Source organism: Homo sapiens, chromosome 7 (assembly GCF_000001405.40).
Source record: "Homo sapiens chromosome 7, GRCh38.p14 Primary Assembly".
Classification (NCBI taxonomy): domain Eukaryota; kingdom Metazoa; phylum Chordata; class Mammalia; order Primates; family Hominidae; genus Homo; species Homo sapiens.
Window position 1 is genome coordinate 29,929,858 of NC_000007.14, and position 22,245 is coordinate 29,952,102.

At 45.1% G+C, this 22,245-nt stretch overlaps 1 protein-coding gene across 5 annotated transcripts in view; it reads right to left on the reverse strand.

The window, feature by feature from the left end:
* SCRN1 (secernin 1) overlaps nt 1-22,245 on the reverse strand; it is a 70,187-nt gene that overhangs the window by 9,755 nt on the left and 38,187 nt on the right. For all 5 annotated transcript variants that reach the window (NM_001145514.1, NM_001145513.1, XM_047421085.1 and 2 more), the window contains 3 exons: nt 14,120-14,322; nt 10,825-11,019; nt 6,699-6,864 (listed from right to left, as the gene is read on the reverse strand). In NM_001145514.1, coding sequence (NP_001138986.1) covers nt 6,699-6,864; nt 10,825-11,019; nt 14,120-14,322 — 564 coding nt within the window. The remainder of the gene's footprint in view (nt 1-6,698; nt 6,865-10,824; nt 11,020-14,119; nt 14,323-22,245) is intronic.

Here is a 22,245-nt window from a genome sequence, read left to right on the forward strand (position 1 = left end):
TGCATAGTAAAAACTCAGAATGCTCTATGTGATGTAACTTTAAACCCACCCTAAGCTCACTGGAATGGAGAGGTTAATCAATGAGGGTGTCTGGTGCTTTTCTAAGAGAAGAGATACCATAAGTTTGTCCCTCTCATCTATCCATTTTAGTTTAAAAAGAATACATAATAAATATGAGGAGGTTCCCAAAATATTCTAAAGCAGCCAAAGCTCTCCAAATATTTTTTCAAAGCTTAGTATACTCAACTAATAAAAAATATAAAGCCTAAATGTATTGAGGTGGTTAAAAGCTTTTTTGAGATTGAATAAATTATATAACTAATAAATAAGGTTATCTAAAAAATAATAATTACATAAAATATTAACAAAAATTATTGCTGATAATAATTGCAATATTAATATTTGTTTAAACCAGGATGTGGAAATTATCTATAATTCAGGTTTCATCATTTGTGTCTATGTACCCAGAAAAGGGGAATGGGGGTAACTCAGTGGTTCCCAAACATTTTGATTTCTTATCAATCTTTACAGAAAATCACATTTAGAATTCCAAATAGATAAGGAGATACTCTGACATTTTCCCACAGGTAAGCCACAGACGGTAGCTTCTTAAATGCTACTTGAATGAACATAAGCCCATTAACAGACACACCCAACTGTCTCCACCACCTACAATTAGCAGATACACCCAACCGTGTCCAGCCCACCTGACCAGGATGAGGCCCATTTCATCACATGCATGGGACGCCCCCGAGTGTCCCGTGGATGGCTTGGATGCAGAACACACCTGAGAAGGTTCCAGAAGGCTGATTCTGCCTCTGTCCTCAGGGCTGACTCTCAGACCAACCTTCAGAAAAGTCACCAAACCCTGGGTTGGGAATTTGCCCCAGTCACTCAGACTTCTGTGGTGTGGTGTGACAGGAATACAAGACGATGGGCCCAAAAGCACAAAGTGCTTCCAATGGCAAGGCACAGCCCAGCAGCCAGTTCATGAGGAGGTTCAAAGCTGGCCGAGCTACTTTAAAGGGACCTTGTGAGGGACAGTTAAATCAATGAGACCATGAGCAACACTAAAGGAAGCCTCCCTCAGCATCCAGCTCTCACGAAGACAAATCCAAGGGCTGAGACACACAGTCCCATGACACGACGCACAGCGTGGGCATCCAAACTCCATTGCAGAGATCTGCAGAATTTTAGCCTTGAGTGACAATTTGAGGCACAGCCAAGAAACATACTCCACTGGATATACCATTACCTCATCTGTCCATTTTTCCCTCTAAAGCCTTGTGAGGGATGCAGCATGCCAATGCAAAAAAAACTATTTTCCAATCATTTGTTTTCTCATTTTGGAAGAACAGCAACATTACCATGAAAATCTCTAACATTTCATAGCACAGCATAATTCTCAAAGCATCTGCATTCAATTCTCATGGTACTCTTATTCATTCATTCATTGAGCAAATATGTGTTGAGCCCTGGCTGAGTACCAGATGCTGTTCTAGGTACTAGGGATACAGCAGTGAACAAAGAAGGGCAAACATTTCTGTCCCATTTTACATATGAGATGACTGAGGCTCACAGAAGCTAAGTGCTTTGTCCAAAATCACATTCCTACTAAGTGGCAGATCTAGAAGTAAATTCAGATCTAAATGCAAGGTCAGTTTTCCCCACTACCTCTCACTCTTATATTCTTCTGTTAGTTTTTCCATACACCTTATACTGCTGCAGAAAAATAAAATACTTTTTATGCTTTAGAATTTAGAATTTAATATCACTGGCTAGCCAACAGTGTTGTCCTCAAACATGGCTCTGCTCTTACTGAAGATGCAGAAACTCTCCAAGCAACAAACCAGGCTGCTCCTGTGACCTGGAGTTCCTGGCAAATCTACTGAGGAGAGTTAGCACAGAAAGAACAATACATAAATCCCTGTTCAGAGGAAGCTGCTCAAATTTGAACCAATCTCAAATAAACCTGCAATACCAAGTTTCTCTCAAAAACGCAGGCGCCCCTCAGAGTGGTTCATCTATGTTTATTCCAGCTTTACTGTGAGCCACTTTAATCATAGAGTCAAAGTCACACCTGGCTCCCATAAACATATACACCTTTTATGTACCCACAAAAATTAAAACAAACAAAAAAAAACTTTTAAAGTCATACCTGGCTGAGAGCAGAACTAATCCATGAAGGGAGTTTCCATTTTAAAGGGAAAGAGAGCCAGTACTTTTGAAGCACCGAACAGCCTTAAGGATGGCGGCTCTGGGGGGTTTTGAAAAGTCAGATGTGTAGGACAGAGAGAGGAGACAGCTGGTGTTGGAAGAATTCAGAATGGAATTGGAGGGGTAGGCACCATGTTGCCTAGGGCCTTCGGCTCTGTCTATCTGTGCAGGCTGTGCCCCACGTGGCTCCAAAGGCTGCATGAGTCATGCTGACCAAGGCTCATGATGTTTGCTCCAGTAACAAAAAGCTGTTTCTGACATTTGAATTATCTAGATGGTAATATCTTGCCCAAGCCAATTTAACTTCTCAAGATTAGTATACTGGCCCAGCACTTTGGGAGGCGGAGGCAGGCAGATCACCTGAGGTCAGGACTTCGAGACCAGCCTGGCCAACATGGTGAAACCCCGTCTCTACTAAAAATAAAAAATTAGCCGGGTGTGGTGGCACGTGCCTGTAGTCCCAGCTACTCAGGAGGCTGAGGAAGGAGAATCGTTTGAACCCAGGAGGTGGAGGTTGCAGTGAGCCGAGATCACGCCACTGCACTCCAGCCTAGGTAACAGAGTGAGATTCCATCTCAAAAAAAAAAAAAAAAAAAAAAAAAAAAGATTAGTACACTGAGAGGAGAAGAGGAGGAAACAAAAGACACACAGACATACAAATAAGGAGGTGGGGTAGAGGGGAATGTCCCTGGCATCTCTCCAGCACCCTGCCACTACTTAAAGTAGCTCAGACACCCTATTTTCCTAGAACTTCTACATTTTCTCCCCCTTCTGGTTTACCCATCCTGTATCTTATTTATTTTATTTTATTTTATTTTTTGAGACAGAGTCTCACTCTGTCATGCAGGCTGGAGTGCAGTGGCTCAATCTCAGCTCACTGCAACCTTTGCCTCCCAGGTTCAAGTGATTCTCCTGCCTCAGCCTCCAGAGTACCTGGGATTACAGGCGTGCACCACCACGCCTGGCTAATTTTTGTATTTTTTTTAGTAGAGACAGGGTTTCGCCATGTTGGCCAGGCTGGTCTGGAACTCCTGACCTCAAGCAATCCACCCACCTTGACCTCCCAAAGTGCTGGGATTACAGGCGTGAGCGGCCGCACCTGGCCTGTATCTTGAGTATTTATTTGTGTATTTTCCTGCATGTGGGGACCTCTCAGTGGTTTACTGGTCTAACAACTATATCTCTGAAAAAAATAGCTCAGTTTTATGGCATTTGCCAATTTCTGTAGTGTAAATACCCCCACTGTGGCCCATTTCAAGGGGCCAATGACATCACCAAATGTGGAGTTGGGAAGAGAGGCTCTCTTCACAATCAGCTTTCCGTGGCTCCAGCACACTGTAAGACTCCGAATTTTACACTCTCACAATGCTAAGGTACCTCTCTACTCCTCCCCTCTCCAATTCTTCACATCAATGAAGCTTTAACAAGTGCTGGCTTCCTAGGAAATGGTTTCCAAAAGTCAGAACCAGTATACTAAAGCCAATCAGTGTCACTCTTTGAATGACTGTGGCACACATGTTGATGTGATGGAATTTGCCTTCTCAATATAATTAAGTGAAGAACTTCTGCATCTCCCTCAGGCATTCAAACTCTGACTTTAGCATCTCCTTCCACTTCTCAACCTTACATACTACCTAGCACATAGTAGGAGGAGGGAGGGAGGGAGTAGAAAAGAGGATGTGAGCGCAAGTTATTTCAAGGACAAGATCTATAATTAATACAGTGAGAAAAGGACAGACAAGTGTCCAGGCAGGCAGAACAACGGTAAGATCACGTTTTTTGGTTTTAACATTAACTGGGAGGGATAAAGACTAAAGTGCTGTTCTTTTCCAAGTCTGCTACTATGAAACAATTTCTAACATTTTTAGCATTAACAGAAGCCAAAATCTCCCTAACTTTCTTGCCTAAAAACCTAACAAAAGGTAATTATGTTTCTTGCTGACAAAAGACAGTAAGTCGAGCAAGCACAATTACAGAGAAACAACTGAAATGTTGAATAGAAAGAATAACAACCTATGAAAGTTCTACAGTCATGGTAGGAAATGCAGCTCTTTTACCATGGAAGATAACAACGAATGTCTTCCAGAAGGGTCTTAATCTTCTATAATACAAGGTTTTTAAAATTAATTTAACCATGAATAATTTTCTTTTAAAAGTACTTAAAATTTTTTATTTTAACTATCAGAAGGCTATTGCCCAGCCATTTTTATAACTGGATTAGGCCATGTCCTTCAGCCTAGGAAGTGGAGTTCCTTTACGTTGGTGTCCTGGGCTCACAAGGCCCTGTCTCCTGAGCACAGTTAGAGCTGGTATCTGAGACATCAGGGACAACAGGAGTTGGTTCAGCTCAACTCACTCTTTGGAAGGGTCCTGTTCCCTAAAAAGCCATGCCCAAATACTTCGCAGAGCATTCCAGACACTTGAAAATAGAACTCCAAATGTCCATATGTACCCCTGTCATCCAGCAGGGTCCTCACAAGGGGCTATTGAGCCACCAGCATTAGGGGAGCAAACTAGGTCACAGTCCAGGAGGAGGGAGGCCCAGACACAAAGGGAAGACGGAGCCCCAAATCTGGTGGGACAAAAAGTGGGTAGAAGGTATGGCCATGGAGCCAAACATTCAGAACTGGGAGAGAAAATCAAGGGAATAGCAACTGGACTCAAACAGGAGGAGCCTCCTGAGAGGCTGCCAGGAGCGGCGTAGAGCAGTTGAGGCTCACAGATAAAGGCTGACGGGTGCCACGGGAGGGTGGTGGGCTTGTTTCACAGAGGGGCTGGGGGTAGAGGAGCAATAGTCACCTAGTGACCAGCATCACCTACAGGAGGATGCACGGCTCTAGCCCGTGGTCATGTGGTTTCATGACTCTCTGCCTTTTGCATGTGCCGTCCTCTCCACCCAGACTGTTGTTCCTGCTTTTTACCTAAAGAACCCCTATTCTTCTCACAATGCCCAGTGCTCAAGAGCTCCTTCCTCTGTGAAGTTTTCCCCTTCATCATCTCATTTGTGCCACCACTTTCCTTGTACACACTTCATCCATGGTACACAACAGACACAATATTTGGTACACAGTAGGTGCTTAGTGTTTGTTGAATGAACGAGTGAATGAAAAACTAAGAACAGCTAATACTGAGTTCCGCAGTCAGGTCTGGTTAGAAACATCTATTGATATTGGCAGTAGTTTAAAAAATGAGGCCAAAGGGTCACAAGAGGTGCTTCACTTTTCCCCTGAGTCATCTAAGAACCAGTCCCTAGCTAGATGCAATCACTGTCTTATATTCCTGAAACAGTAAAAGGAGAATAAATATTTTCAGCTGCAAAAGGAATGAAATTTAATACCAGCAAATACCTTGGAAGCAGATTCAAAGTTTAACAAGCTGACTTTCAGACACTGATAATGATGTTCAGCCAATGGAACACCCAAAAAAACACCAGAGAACCTACTGGAATGGGCAGGCTTCTAGAGCCTTCTAGGCTGAGGATCAGACTTACCTGACAGATTCCTAGGTCCACCTCAAAGATTCTGATACAATAGGTTTCAGTCAAGGAATCTGTATTTTTTGAAAACTCCTCCAAGTGATTCTAGCAATGAACAGGTTTAGAAACCACTGGATGGCTGGTTCTAAGCTACTGATGATATGATTCCTGATATACATGACAGAATGTTCCTGGGGAGAGGGGCTGCTGTCTGCCTGGGAGATCAGAGATCGTCTTCATAAATAATCGTTAAATCTACTATGTATTGACTTGGATTATCTCATTTAATCCTCCCAACAAGCATGTAAAGGTAGGGGCTGATATTATCCCCATTGTACAAACACAGAAACTGAAGCTTAGAGAGGTGAAATAACTTATTCAGCTACTATGTGGCAAAGGTCGGATTCACAATCCTGGCAGGTCATTTTAGAGGCTGCATTCTTCATCCCTGTGTAATGCTGCCTTTTTGCTGAAGCACATGGGCAGAAAGCAACCCCCTAAAACACAATGTCTTAAAGAAGGGGCCAGTACACTTGAAGTTGCTTCAATCTGTATTGCCTCCGAACTGTTTTATTCTCTAACTCACAGGAACTGGTTGTTTTGATAAATCATGAGCATTCCCACATCTCTCTGTCTCGCTGTGTTTTGTTCATTTCTGTATCCCTCATGTACCACACAATGCTTGGCCCATGATATATACTGAGTAAATATTTGGTATTAGGTTGGTGCAAAAGTAACGGTAAGGACCACAATTACTTTCGCACCAACCTAATAAATTTAAAAGAACTACTAGATTCCCTGACTGTCATAAATACTATGTGACTAAAACCAAGGAATTCACTTAATCAAAGCCCTTGGTGCTACACTGCCCACACTGAAGCTGACTGAAAAACGTGACTTTGCTATCCAAGGGGAGGACATGGTCAGGCGCTTACTACGCACTTGCTGAATGAGCTTTCAAGGGAAGCACTTATGTTCTGCCTACGTGACCAGGCCTCGGACAAACCTGGAAGGATCAGGGGTTCCAGTGAAGTAGTGAATGCACGGAGAGCTTCTATTCTGCGGCAGGACAGACACTCCACTGGCTGTGGTGAGGAAAAACTCAGAGTCTATGCACACTCCGCTGGCTTTGTCCCGTAAGGTGTTCATCATAGTCTGCACTGTGATGCTTTCTGCAAAAACACAAAAGACAGACAAATGGAAAGAGTAGATATAGGCCGGGCGCGGTGGCTCACGCCTGTAATCCCAGCACTTTGGGAGGCCGAGGCGGGCGGATCACGAGGTCAGGAGATCGCGACCATCCTGCATAACACGGTGAAACCCCGTCTGTACTAAAAATACAAAAAAAAAGCCAGGGGTGGTGGCAGGCGCCTGTAGTCCCAGCTACTTGGGAGGCTGAGGCAGGAGAATGGTGTGAACCCGGGAGGCAGAGTTTGCAGTGAGCTGAGATCGCGTCACTGCACTCCAGCCTGGGCGACAGAGCGAGACTCTGTCTCAAAAAAACAAACAAACAAAAAAGAGTAGCTATAACACAAAACTGTGGCGTGGCGGGCCACTAACTAAAATCCATTCACTGCATTCTCTTTTTAGTAATAAAAACTCTGAAATTACATCTGGGACTGTAACTACCAAACTACAGTCTATTTCCCCACTTCCCTTGTGACTATGTGTGGCCATGTGATAAATGTTGATCAACAGGAGGTAAGCAGAAACAATGTGTGCAATTCCTCATCACATCTATAAACAAGGTATGTTTGCCTTTTGTTTTTATTTTCTCCCTTCCTGCCAACTAGGAGATGCAAACAAGCGGACCACAAATGGAATTCCTGTGTTGAGTCACAGTAACCAGCCCTGGACTGGCCGTATATACCTGAACTATAACATGGGAGAGAAATAACCTACTATTTTTTTTAAGCTACGTTAATTTGGGGTGTCTTTGTTACAGCATTTAGCTGTACCTCAACCAGTACAATAACTCAATAGATATCCACAAGAAAGTACATACAATCTACTACGCACAGTCCACCAAACTCGCTCCCATAAACTCTTGCTGGTCAGAGTCAATACTCTATTTGGAGAATGTCCTCTCTGCGGTGGGAAATATATGCACAGAGAGGCATTTAGAATATTCAGAGCCATTAGGACTGTTGGCGGTGACCACAGATAAATGGATAAACAAATCCTTGATTACATGAGATCCCATTTCTACATCTTCCCCTGGGTTATAATTTGTTAAAACACTATTTCAGTCTGTGTTCACCATGATGGAATTGAAGCATCACACGGAGAGGTTTGTTGGCACATTCACATCCTCTTTGTAAATCTCTACTTACATGTCATACCTAGAAATATTAACAACAAATCCTTGCTTGCTTCAACTGTCCAATGTTCAGATTTCCTCATTGTCTTATAAATGAGCCTATTGATTTGAATTGGAACCAATCAGAATTGGAAACGTCTCTGCCTCTTGTTTTTTCCCCTTGCATCTTTTTTTTTTGAGATGGAGTCTCGTTCTGTCCCCCAGGCAGGAGTGCAGTGGCGCAATCTTGGCTCACTGCATCCTCCGCCTCCCAGATTCAAGTGATTCGCCCACCTCAGCCTCCCTGGTAGCTGGGACTACAGGCATGCACCACCACGCCCAGTTAATTTTTGTATTTTTTTGGTAGAGATGGGGTTTCACCATGTTGCCCAGGCTGCTCTTGAACTCCTGGCCTCAAGTGATCCACCCTCCATGGGCCTCCCAAAGTGCTGGGAGTGCGGGCATGAGCCACCGCACCCACTCAGCTTGCATCTTAGTTGTCAGAGTCATCTTTCCTGTAGTTTCGCACAGTGTAAGCTTTGCAGATGGCATCCTCATGGCATTATTTGTTGGGAACAGGGCCCCTGAAATCTGGCCATAAACTGGCCCCAAAACTGGCCATAAGCAAAATCTCTGCAGCACTGTGACATGTTCATGATGGCCATGATGCCCACGCTGGAAGGTTGTGGGGTTAACGGAATCAGGGCAAGGAACACCTGGCCCACCCAGGGCGGAAAACCGCTTAAAGGCTTTCTTAAACCACAAACAATAGCATGAGCAATCTGTGTCTTAAGGACATGCTCCTGCTGCAGATAACTAGCCAGACCCATCCCTTTATTTCGGCCCATCCCTTTGTTTCCCATAAGGAATACTTTTAGTTAATCTATAACCTATAGAAACAATGCTTATCACTGGCTTGCTGTCAATAAATACATGGGTAAATCTATGTTCAAGGCTCTCATCTCTGAAGGCTGTGAGACCCCTGATTTCCCACTCCACACCTCTACACTTCTGTGTGTGTGTCTTTCATTCCTCTAGCGCCACTGGGTTAGGGTCTCCCCAACCAAGCTGGTCTCGGCAATTATTATATTAAACAGCGTATTTGTTCCTCTATCCTCTGTATTTTCTGTAAATTAGTAGCTAGACCTAAAGGCTTTATCAGATTTAGAGTTGATGTTTTGGCAACATTATTTAATATCTTTCACCAAGCTAGTTTTTTTTTAATTAAAAAAATTTTGATTTTTTAAAAGCTCCTGTTTAAAAGTGAGTATTTTCTTACCTTCCTACCCAGAATATATTACATAAGTGCTATAGCAAAAGTCCTAAAGTGTTCTAGATTAAGAGTCAGGAAGCATTTTCCTTCTTTTTTGTTTTTTTTAAAAAGAGACAGGGTCTCACTCTGTCACCCAGGCTGGAGTGAGGTGGTGCAATCATACCTCACCGCAGCCTTGAACTCCTGGGCTTAAAAAATCTTCCCACCTCAGCCCCTGAAGAGCTGGAACTATAGGCCCACATCACCACATCTGGCTAATTTTATTTCTTTGGAGAGATGAGGTCTTGCTAAGTTACCCAGGCTGGTCTTAAACTGAACTCCTAGCCTCAAGTGATCCTCTGCCTCAGCCTCCCCAAAGTACTGTGATTACAAGCATGCACCTGGCCTGACAGTAAATATTTTAGGTTTATGGGCCATAGAATTTCCGTTGAAACTTTCCTGTTGCACCTGCTCAACTCTGCCATTATAGTGAGAAAGCAGCCCCAAACAATATATAAATAAATGGGTGTGGCTACAGTCCAATAAAATTTTGTTTTTAAAACAGGCAGCTGCCAAAAGGTCATAGTTTGCAGACCCCTGTCCTAAATGATCCAAAACTTCGCCTTATAAAATACATGCATCACCAACAAATATAGAATGACTGTTGTGGGTTTTCTGGAAGGATTTCCACATAGGCACAAAAGTAAGAAGCTATCTAGTCGCCACATATACCTAAACATGGATTCTGATTTAAGTTAATAACTAGGGGCTGGGTGCGGTGGCTTAGGCCTGTAATCCCAGCACTTTGGGAGGCCAAGGCGGGCAAATCTCTTGAGCCCAGGAGTGTCAGACCAGCCTGGGCAACAAAATGAGACCCTGTCTCTACAAAAAAAAAAAAAATTAGCCAGAAATGGTGGCATATGTTTGTAGTCCCAGCTGTTGGGATGGCAGCAGGGGTGCAGCTGAGGGAGGATCGCTTGAGTTCAGGAGGTGGAAGCTGCAGTGAGCCGAGACTGTGCCAACACACTTGAGTGTAGACAACAGAGTGACATCCTGTCTCAATAAACAAACAAACAAACAAATAAATAAATAAATAAATAAAATAAGTTAGTAACTAGTTGGCAGACGGAGTGGCAAGAATTCAACTCATCAAGTATCCATGGAACAAAAAATTATACAGGCATCAAAAAGGGACCCTAAGATGAGTAAGAGACAACACCTCTGCCCTCAAGTCCCAGCAGGCTAGCGGGGCAGGGAAAGATGAGTCAAATATATAATTACTGATGTATGAGGATGGCTGCAGTAAGCATTACAAAAGGCAACACAATGACATCAGAGATTAAAGGAGAATAACATGGGTAGGAGCAGGAAACCTCCAGGGATGAGGAAGCACCATGTAAAAATAAATACAAGTTGTTTTCTTGCCTGCACATCAGGGACTTTTAGCAGAAGTTGGTCTTTACATACAAGGACTATTCTGTATTCCTTTTTGTTCACCCTTCTAAGTTCAGACAAGTTCTCAGAAACAGCTGCAAGAGAAAGGGTATGAGAAGGAGAATCGTGAGGGAGAGACTAACTCACCTTCTTGTTTTTCTAAGCTGTCTTTGCCAGCACCGCAGTCTAGATGATCCTCAACTGGAGAAAAGACTTCGGAAAAATTGAACTCGCCCTCTCCCGTCCACCAACCTTGGCTCTGAGCGTAACTCCTGAGTTCCGGATGCTCTGCATCCATCTTAGTGGTGAGCGAAAGCTGACTGCAAATGCACCTCACTCCCTCTGCAGAGAGTGCAAAGCCCCATAAGTTAAAAATATACTTATAAAGACTTAATCAACAAATGGAAATGTATAGGGAATCCTTTTCCTGAAACACTGACTTTAACTACAGGGAGGAATCCATTTAATTTTTGAAGAGAGAAACAGACAATCATTGAGTCTCTTTCTAGGAGACCTCCTAAAAGGTCTGACCAGTCTTGACTGGGCATTATCACATTTTAAATGAGCAACAGTCACTTAACCCATCTTAAAAGCATAATCAACAGGAAATATGTAAGGCTCTTCATTTTGGCTAAATAAGCCCCAAGCATTCATTAGTTACATGCAAAAAAAGGGACAGGTCCTTTGAAAGAGGTACTGAGCTAACAAGACTTAGCAATCCACAAGGGAGTCCTCTATAATAGAGATGCTGTTCCTCTACAGCAATGCTCTATCGCATCTATAGAAAGCCCCCTCCCTGGTCTGATTTCTTTTCACCTGGAAAAACACTTTACACCCCTACTCCTTGGCCAAATCTATATGGTTTTTTTTAAAAAATACAAATCAAATACTTCATTCAACTTTTTTTTCAGGTCTCAACATTTAGAAAATCATAGTGGCAATGACAACAAATTGTTTTAAAATAATTGAATATATTCATGAATATACATATGTCTGGGTATGTGTGTGTGCACACATGCGTGTGAGTGTGTGAGATAAAGTGTGTGCATGCGTGTGTGTATGTGTTTGAAAAATCTATGGGAAATTTTTTCTTATAAAAATAGAAGTGTGACTAAATAAATCTAGAATTAGAAATGCCTGCATTCTGAGTACATTTCACTTTGATGAATGAGGGCTTAGACCAGAAACTCTCCTACCAGCTGGCTGGCTTGCTATGTCTTCTTCGAAGCCTGAGCTGCAAATGCACACAGGACAACTCAGCCTTCCAGCTTCAAGATGCTGTCTAGGGCACAAACACTAGGAAGTTATCAGTGCTAGCTTAAAAGGGCCATTCCTATTTGCTGCTTCCAGGGATTCTTGGAGAATGAAGTGACATAAAGAACATAAACTACAAGCTACAGGAAAGCCATCATTGCCTGAAAACCAGTTCCTAGAGGCAGGATCAGTGCTGGACTAAGTTCTTTCAGTATGTTTTGCTTCACTGATTTACACTTCTGAAATAAGCATTCCTGGCTGGTAGGCATTGGTCCTTTGTCATTTATCTTTTCAGAGAGGACCATAAAAGTACAATTATAAACAATTAAAAATAAAAACCAGTTTTGGCCTAAACAAGTGATTTTGACATCATTCCTACTAAGTTATTTTAAAAAATACTCTTGTAAGCAACTCTACAGATATTAGTTTCCCAGTGGGCAGATTTATAGTAGACATTTGCTTTTAAGAATGTTAGCCTTTGGGAGACGGAGTGCATTAAATCTTACTGCAATCCATCACACCGCTGCTGGGATCAGACGACATGAAATCAGTAAGTCCAAGAAATGGCTGGGGTTCTTTTTTATTTAAATATTTAGTTAACTAATGGAAGCATTCATTTTGTGTAATTTTTTAAGCTACATTTTGAAGAGACGCTCAGCTTTTGAAACGCAGTCATAGATCAAAAAGTGTTAGGTTCAACTTAAAAGCAATATGACTGCTTTGAAGCATGGATTACTAGCACTCTTGATGGAAGCATTCAATAGTAAGACTTCATCTTAGGAGGGGTTTTTATCAAGGAGTTTTAAGTTCCTGCATTGTAGGAGAGTTGGAGACCTGGTGGGCTGCACTGGCTGTCTTAGTTCTAGAACTACTGTAAGAGCTGGGCAAGTAGGCACACACACTGGTAGGTGGGTACATGCTGGGCATATGAGGTGGAGAAACTCTCCGTGATTGCTGACGGACACCACTAGCCCATTCTACACCCTTTTGAGATAGAAAGAGGCCACCCCCTCCTCCAGACAGACACAGCCTTCATACAGCTTGGCCAGGAAGCCACAGTCTAGATTTCACTGCCTCACTGGGGCAATTTTGTATAGAGTACAACGTACCCATCATCCAGAGAAGCCCTGATCACTGGACTAACTTTGTGCACAGAAAACAGGCTTGATTCCCATCTACTGTGGTAGATCTTCCGCTTCTAACTCGGGTCAAATTTGGTTCAATTCACCCCTAAGATAGGGACGGCACACAAGTTTCATCCCCAACATCATTTTGGATTACTTGGAAGAGACTTCCTGGTAAATTTAGTTAAGAAAAATACATAGGCCAAGAATAGGTTCAACGAAAGAGAAGTGTCGTGACCTACTACTCCACCATTAGCACAGGAGGGAAGAATGGCAGTGCACACATCACATGGTCACCACCCAGTCCCAAGGAGCTGCTCGGGCCAAAATTCCCTCTTAGGACTACTTAGTTCTCTTCGAAGCCCTTTAACCCATTCTGGGATCTCATCCTGTCCAGAAATGAGGATGCTGAGGTGGGGATACAAAACTACCACTCCCACCCCTAACACTTACTTCCCCAGGGCTGTGTTAGAAGCAAGATGCTGCACGGGCCACAGAGCAGCAAATTTATGGGCACTAAATTCTTCTGGGTGGATCATCTAGTCCTCTGCTCTTCTAGAAACACTGTCTCACTGTGAGATAAATGAACTTCACTCACAAAGAAATCCCAGAGTGGCGTATACCGGTCCTCACACAGATCTAAACTCCTATTTTAGAGGAACATGCCAAGCACAAAGATCTACAGGGTTGGGGGTGACAAGGAGCTACTGTCCAGTGAAGGGACTTGTTGACCTATTACACAAGAAGAGTCACCATTCTCTTGGCCAATTAATAGAGTAATGGTTTAAGTCATGGAATTCCTGGTAGTCAAAAGCAGGTTCTTCCCAGAAAGCAAACAGAAAATACGAAATGTTAAGAGACTGCTTCACTCCAGGTTCAGGAGACTCCAGGTTCTCTTCTTGGAGGTTCCCAGAAATGAGAGGCATGCCAAAGCATGACAGTCCCACACAGAGAGGACCTGCAACGGCACGTCTTTCTTCCAGGTCTGACACTGTACGTGCAGGCCACCCCATCTCTGTGGCCTTCCCTGTCCTCAGAACTCTCCATCATCCACACCCACTCACCTGTGACTTTCTCGGCAGCCCAGTACTTCCCTATGGTCTCGAGCACCCAGGCTTCATCACGATCCACAATCAGATATGCACTTTGGAAGCTGTGGCAGGAGTTTGCATCTTCAAAGTAATTCCCACCTTGTCCATGTTCTTCCAACAAGGAGACAATGACATCTAAGGCTTCTTTAGCTGTTTCCCCTCTTTCTAAACCAAGCCTGCAGGAAGGAAACCAGAACCATACTTCAGTCATTTCATACCACAGGATTGTTACTAGAGTAACCAAAGACTGGGCAAGGCCGAGTTATGAAGCATGCCAACATGTGTAAACATGTTAAGTCTGCAGAACAATAAGCAAACTGATTAACTGCACTGTATCCCAGAACACACTTCTCACATGTTTGCTTAAAAAACCATATGGGGTGGCCAGGTGCAGTGGTTCATGCCTATAATCCTAGCACTTTGGGAGTGGCAGGATTGCTTGAGCTCAGGAGTTCAAGACCAGCCTGGGCAACATAGCGAGACCTCTTCCTCAAAAAAAAATTTTTTTAATTAGCCAGGCATGGCGGGACACACTGGCAGTCTCAGCTACTTGGAAGGCTGAGGTGGTACGATCGCTTAAGCCAAGCAGGTCGAGGCTGCAGTGAGCCATGATCATGCCACCACACTCCAGTCTGGGCATCAGAGTGAGACCCTGTCTCAAAAAAAAAAAAAAAAAAGAAAGAAAGAAAGAAAGAAAAAATCATAGGGGTGTTTTCTGTCTTTGGTCATTTCCCTTCGACACAGGAGAGTCAGGAACCCAGTGTCTTCTCCCTCTTGGAAGGCACCTGTGTGTCTTCCCCTCTTCTGACTGTGTCTCCCACAGAGCTGGCCACCTCAGCTCTAGCCCTTACAAAACCACCCCTCTGTGGCATGTACTCCCTCCTGACTCTAACCTGGGCAAAAGGAAACCAAGGCCAAGTCTGGCCTTGATCTCTATTATTCTACACCAGGTATTTTGCTTACTTATTAAAAGTGTTCAAATGCCAGACATTATCCTGTGTCCAGAGAGGACGTTGTCCTGTCTCTGTCTCAGAGACCTTATTAGGAATGGGCAGCTGGTTGGGACATAATCAGCCTTTTCTACATATTTCTCCTCCTGCCTATCAGCCTACGTCTATTGGTATGGCTTACAGCTTCAGTCATCAAAAGAATATGTATTCCCTTTGAAGTGAGACATCCATCTCCCCCTAGCCTTTCCAATTAATAAACCCTTTAAAGAGGGCACTGATATGGTTTGGCTGTGTCCCCACCCAAATCTCAAATTACATCTCCCAGAATTCTCACTTGTTGTGGGAGGGACCCAAAAGGAGGTAACTGAATCAGGGGGTCCGGTCTTTCCTGTGCTATTCTCGTGATAGTGAATAAGACTCACAAGATCTGATGAGTTTATCAGGGGCTCCCGCATTTGCTTCTTCCTCATTTTCTCTTGCACAGTACTGCCCTCTGTGTGACCTTGGGCAGGTTATATATTTTGAACTTCAGTTTTATGTCATCTATAAAATGAACGCCCACATCATTTAGTTGTTGTAAGAGTAGGTTTATGAGATAACATCCATGAAAATATGCAGTGCTAGTGCTTGTGACCAGGAAAGTGGTCAGTAAATTTCTGGAGGTAGAACACTGTGGCAGAGAAACATATGACTCAGAGATAAATGGACCCAGCTTCTAGCTATGGCTCTGCTACTCACTGGCATTAAGATCTTAAGTAATGTGACCTTTCCAAACCTTGATTTTTCTCATCTGCAGATTGAAAACAATACTACCTCCCTCTCTGGCTGTTATGAAAGAGGATGGTACATGCCATGTACTCAGGAAGTGTCCATATTCATCTGTTCATTCAAATTATAATTCAGGTGGCAGGAACACAGGAGTCTTAGAACCTGGGCAATGGTGCTACTACAATGGTGGTACAAGCCAGTTCTTGGTGAATTTTCAACTTGAGAAGTAAAAACTATTCAAATTTATCTAATTTGATGCTTCCTAAAGGGATATTTCACTGTGCTGCCAGGGAGAAGAAAAGCTAATACAACTAATCTATAGGCTGATTATTATAACAGGCTTATGTTTATAGTCAAATAATTACATGACAATTCATTTGACATTTCTCATTTTAAGCTTATGTAGCAAGACTCGGTTACAAGGCAGTGATTTACAAAGCTGAACCCTAAAACCTTAGGAGAGGGATAAAAGAACAAACCCACTAGAAGACTGAATTCAGCTGACTTTTCCTTTGGTCAATGTCATCTTCTCCAAAGAGAAGGAACAGAAGCAGGCACTCATCTTACCTTGAGGCTCCGGAACAAACAAAGGTGCTGTGAGTGCCTCTCAGAACCCCACGTTGTACACACTCGAAGGCCTCCTTCCTCCCTTCCACAGGTCCCTGGTAGCCCCCTGGTCACAATGCCTCATACAGACATTCCAGGCAGAATCCTGTTCCCAGGGCCTTTGCAGGGCCCCAACTTGCCCGTGCAAACATGTGCTGGGAGCATGTGAATACACAGCCAGCTGTAACAGCCCTGTCTTCGGAGCTTGTGACTTATCTTTTTTGATTTCCAGTGTACTCTTCTGATGTTCTGCCTGTTTGCATTCCACACTGAGGCCCTAGACTTGCACTTGCCCTCCCATGCTGACTTTGATGTCCTCTGGCAGAGTTGGCAACAGGACCTCAGCACTATCCACAGACCTAATTCTGATTTCACCCTCCTATCCCTTGTGCCAGGACCATGGGTCAGAGATACCCCTTTGTCCCACCTGATTATTCCCACCTGGTCTTCCTACCATGCCATGAGGACAGGGCCAACTGCTCCATAGTACATGGGCCGTGAATAACACCAGGGTTACACCCTTGCCCTCTGCAACTGAGAAATGCAGATGAATCCCATGTCACTGGGTGCAGAAGAGATGCCAGAGAGACCTGGGGCCACAAGTCACATGGCATCCAGAGGCCAATGTTAAAGCCATTCCCAACAGTCTCACCTCCTACATGCGGCAGATTCATGTGATTCCAGAAGAGGGCAGTGCTCTCTGGCCCCATGCCTAATTTCACTTTGGCTGCTACCCCTCTGCCTGGGCAGGACCAGGACAGGGAAGGGGAAGAAACTCAATGGGCCAAGGTTAGAGTTCCACTGTAACATCTATCTTCTGTGCAGTTCGAATTCTTCCAAAGTGTGTGCTTTGTCCAGCTTGCTCTGGGCCTGGGAATTAGATGCTCCTGAATTCAATTCCTAGTTTTATAGGAAAATCTTTCCCTGGGAGCCCATGACCTTCTCACAGGTATGTCAAGCTCACCCTGCCCGTTCCTGAAAAGTTAACACATCTCACTGAGAAAGATGGGTCACACCTGTACTTCTCCTGCTTAAAGCCCGTTTGTTTAGAAACTCTGCTTATCTTTTCAACATCTGTGCCTCCATGGATTAGGAGATCCCTGTCCTTTTCTATCTCAAATCAGGTAAAACTAGATTTGCCATGGATATATAATCACTGACTTGGGAAAAGTAATAAAAATAGGCAACACAGCCCCCTTAGAAAGGTGGGCCTAGTATTCTTATAGGACTCAGGTGCAAATAATCTTCCCTCCTCCCCACAATCAAGCAGTCTGCCAGGCCCTTCTGAGGTCAGGACCTTTTGGAAATTGGAAATTCCCTGCCTTCAGCCAGAGGGCTAGAAGCAGGAAGGTAATGCTATGAAGTGATTGCTTGTCCCCCTGGTTTCCCCAAAAATTCATATGTTAAGCCTCATCCCCAGTGTGATGGTATGGTACACGGGGCCTTTGGGAGGTGATGAGGTCATGAGGGGTGGAGGCACCATGATGGGATTAGTGCCCTTAAAAGAAGAGACACCAGAACACGTCCTCTTTCTCTGTTCTCTGCCATGTGAGGATACGGGGGAAGATGGCCGTCTGCAAACCAGCAAGCAGGCTCTCCCCAGACACTGGGTCTTCCGGTGCCTTGATCTCAGATTTCCCAGTCTCTAGGAATGTGAAAAATAAATTTGTGTAGTTTCAACCCCCTAGGCTATGGTATGTTTGTTATAGCAGCCCAAATGGACTAAGACGAGTGATAACACAGGTGATGGATGTGAAGGTGATCCAGGGAAAGAGCGTGTGAAACTTTTTGACTTATCTCCATCTCTCAGTGTCCCGAAATTCCTGCGTCATTGACAGGTGAAGTAAAATGTGCTCCACTACATAGAGGAGTGGCCTCTCTGAGGCTAGCAGGCCCTGGGATCCCTGGCTTAGCCACCTTCTAGCTCTGGGGCCTTGGGCAACTCCTTCAACCCTCCTAAGCTCCAGTGTCCTCACTCTCAAGGGGAGGAGACCTACTTCATTGGGTTACTGTGAGAGTTAAATGAAATAATATGTGCAAAGCATGTCTTACTACAGTGTTCAGGAAATAGTAACTCTGATTACACAGGTTCCTCCCGCCTACAAATGGTGACTGAACCTCCTTTTAAATCACCTGAGTCCTCACATTCACCAACAACCTAAAGACAAACTACAGACCTTTCCAAATTTTCACACTGGCCTTTTGCCAAGGACTTTTGTGATTTTTAACATGCTGAAGGTCTGATGGAATGTGTCCAGAATTATAAGATGTTCTGAAATATTGGAATTGACTAGGTTTTAGTGCCATTGTTAAACACAAATGGGACTAGCAAAAGTCAGCATGCAGGAAAAAAAAGAATAAAGTAGTTATGCAAAGGGAAGAAGAGGCAAGAAACACTGAAAGAATGCAGCAATCTGCTGGAGCCAGCTGCTACCAGCTTGGAGAGCAGATGGTTAAATTTTAGGGATTTTGAGCCAGTTCTGAAACTGTTGGTAGCTTGAAACCCCTCACAGTGGGAGTATTTACACCATGGAAATTGAAAAAGGACTCAAACAGCGCTGCCCCTTCCCTCCACCAGGCTGGTTATTAAACATTTACCAGCATACTTCTGACAAAGAGGTTCCAAACGCTTCATAGTTCTCATCCATGTTGAGGCCCAGAGGCATTATCATGTCTGACAGACCTTGGATTATAAGTGGCACCCTAGGACAGGAGCGGTGGCTCACACCTGTAATCCTAGCACTTTGGGAGGCTGAGGCAGGCGGATCACGAGGTCAGGAGATCATGACCATCCTGGCTAACATGGTGAAATCCTGTCTCTACTAAAAATACAAAAAATTAGCCGGGCATGGTGGCAGGCGCCTATAGTCCCAGCTACTCGGGAGGCTGAGGCAGGAGAATGGCGTGAACCCAGGAGGCGGAGGTTGCAGTGAGCCGAGATGGTGCCACTGCACTCCAGCCTGGGTGACAGAGCAAGACTCCGTCTAAAAAAAGAAAAAAAAAAAGGGCACCCTAACAACCAGAAAGTAATTTCCCCTTTCTTTCCTTCACTCTTTTTTTTTTTTTTTTGAGACAGGATCTCGTTCTGTGACCCAGGCTGGAGTGCAGTGGCATGATCTCAGCTCACTGCAACCTCCCCACCTGGGTTCAAGCAAACCTCCCACCTCAGCCTCCCAAGTAGCTGGGACCACAGGCGTGGGCCACTATACTGGGTTAATTTTGTATATTTTGTAGATACAGAGTTTTACCATGTTGCCCAGGCTGGTCTTTAACTCCTGGGCTCAAGCAATCCTCCTGCCTCGGCCTCCCAGAGTGCTAAGATTATGGGGCATAACCCACCACATCAGGCCCTTTTTTCCTTCTTTCAGACAGGGTCTCGATCTGTTACCCAGGCTGGAGTGCAGTAGTGCAATCATGGTTCACTGCAGCCCTGACCTCTTGGACTCAGCAATCTTCCCGCCTCAGTCTCTCAAGTAGTTGGGACCACAAGCATGCAACAGTGCAACCAGCTACAATTTGCATTTGTTTTGTAGAAACAGGCTTTTGCCATGTTGCCCAGGCTGGTCTTGAACTCCTGGGCTCAAGTGATCCTCATGACTCGCCTCCTAAAGTGGTGATAGCAGTGGTGGCCCATCTGGAGGAGCCACTGTGAAGATGCCGGCTGCAACAGGGAGGCAGGGTCTGGGTTGCGTGCTTTGCGAGGCTGGTGGGAGCCCCACCCCCTACCAAGTTGGCAGGGTGGGAGCCCCATGCTCCCAGGCACAGCTGCAGCTGCTCTGGACCTGGGCATCCCTGCACTCTCAGGAGCCCAGGAAGCCCTTGCCCCTACAGGCTTGGAAGTGCCTGCTTCCTGCTCCCTGACCTCTTCCCGCTTCCCAGCACCTGCTCCAGTGCAGAGCAAAGTTGTGGCTGAGCCCAGGTGCTATTGCAACCTGGCTGGGTGTGCACATGCTTAGGGTGGTGCTGACACACCAGCCCCCTGCCGCCTCGGGCTTCTCCAGACTTTGGGCATCAATGAGCACAGGAGGGAGGCTGGGAGGGCTGAGGGCAGCTCAGTGTGGGCCTGCCAGTGCCCCCCAAGATGAAAAACCTGGACATCATGGATGGCACGTTGATGGCAGGAGGCAGACAGTTTCCTGGGCGGAAAGGAGCAGGTCCCCAGTGAAACCCCACCTTCAAGCCAGGAATGGCCGGAAGCCCGGAGGCTGGTCTGCTAGTTCCGGGTGGAGTACGCAGCCCAGAGTGAGAACTTATGGTGCTTTTTCCAGGCTTGCCCATGACCCGATCAGCACACACTTCCTCCCTTCTGAGCCCATAAAAACCCCAGACTCAGTCAGACTCACACAGACGTTAGGACTACCAGCTGCAGGAAGGAGCTACCAAGTTTGGGCCTCCTTGACTCGTTGGGATGACCTGCCTGCAGCAGAAGGGAGCTACCCACTACAGGTCTCCTCTCTGCTGAGAGCTGGATACTCGTCAGGATGACCTGCCTGCAGAATGGAGCTACCCACTTTGGGTCCCCTGAGAGCTGTTCTGTCACTCAATGAAGCTCCTCACCACCTTGCTCACTCTCCAGCTGTCCATGTATCTCACTCTTCCTGAACATGGGACAAGAGCTTGGGACCCGCCAAATGGTGGGACTGAAAGAGCTATAACACAAACAGTGCTGAAGCACACCCCCAGCCCCCACCATTTGCAAAATTGCAGGTGATGAAAAGGAGAGAAGAGCTGCAGCCCTTTGGGGAGTCCAGACCTAGGGGCTCCCTGAGCCAGGACTGTGACACTCTCTTTGGGGCTCTGCAGTTCCTGGCATTTCCAAGCTTCCAGGCACCACGTTTCTTGGTGACTGCAGTGGAAGCCATTTGCAGTACGCCTGGTCCAGCTGCAGCCTCGCACAGAGCTAGTGCCTGTGCCAACGCCTAGAGCTGCCCATCCCGCCACAGCTGGCACACCTGGCTGTGTGCAGTGGCTGGACCCCATGCTTGCTCACACACCCCTTTCCTCTCTGCGCCTGGCTTGTGCTTGGAAGGCATGGGATCCAGGCCAGTAGCATAAGCTGAGTACAGTGTGCAGGGCCAAGTGGTGGAACAAGCCCAGCAGCCCGACCAAAACTCAGGCAAAGGTGCCACCAGCCACAGAGGTTTCCGGCTGGAAAAGCAACACCGTAAGGATCGTGTGACACTGGGATTACAGGCATGAGCCACTGCACCTGGCCAAATTCCCACTTTTATGTTAGCTTCTATTGGCTACTCATTACTTGGAACCAACTTCATGAAACATGCAAAAATGTGTACGTGTCTTTATATGCCTCTTCCTCAGGAGAAAGGGACTAGTGGTCAGAGAACAGTGAATCAAAAATAACAGATGAAGCTTAGCTTTGAGATAAATGTCACTGAAAACGCATTATAAAAACAATATTGCCTAATGCTTACATTCCCACAAGCCTCTAGGAAACATACACAAATTATACCTTTATCTTAAAATCAGTGCCTATTACATTGCTACTGTCATTCCCTTATGTCTCTTTGAACTGAGGTTGGATTTCACATGCTGCTGGAAAGTGCAAAGTACCAGGATAAGTATAGGGGCAACTACTGTATTCATTGAATAATCAACCACAGTCTAGCAGGCCCTTGAAAGAGCATGTGAAATGGACATAGCCTGCTCTCATAGAAGCTGTCCAGGGAGGAACTGGCACTAGACACAGAGTGCAAGCAAGGCCAGAGAAAGTAGTGGTTCCTCACACAGCAATACCTAGGGAGGCACTGAGCCCCA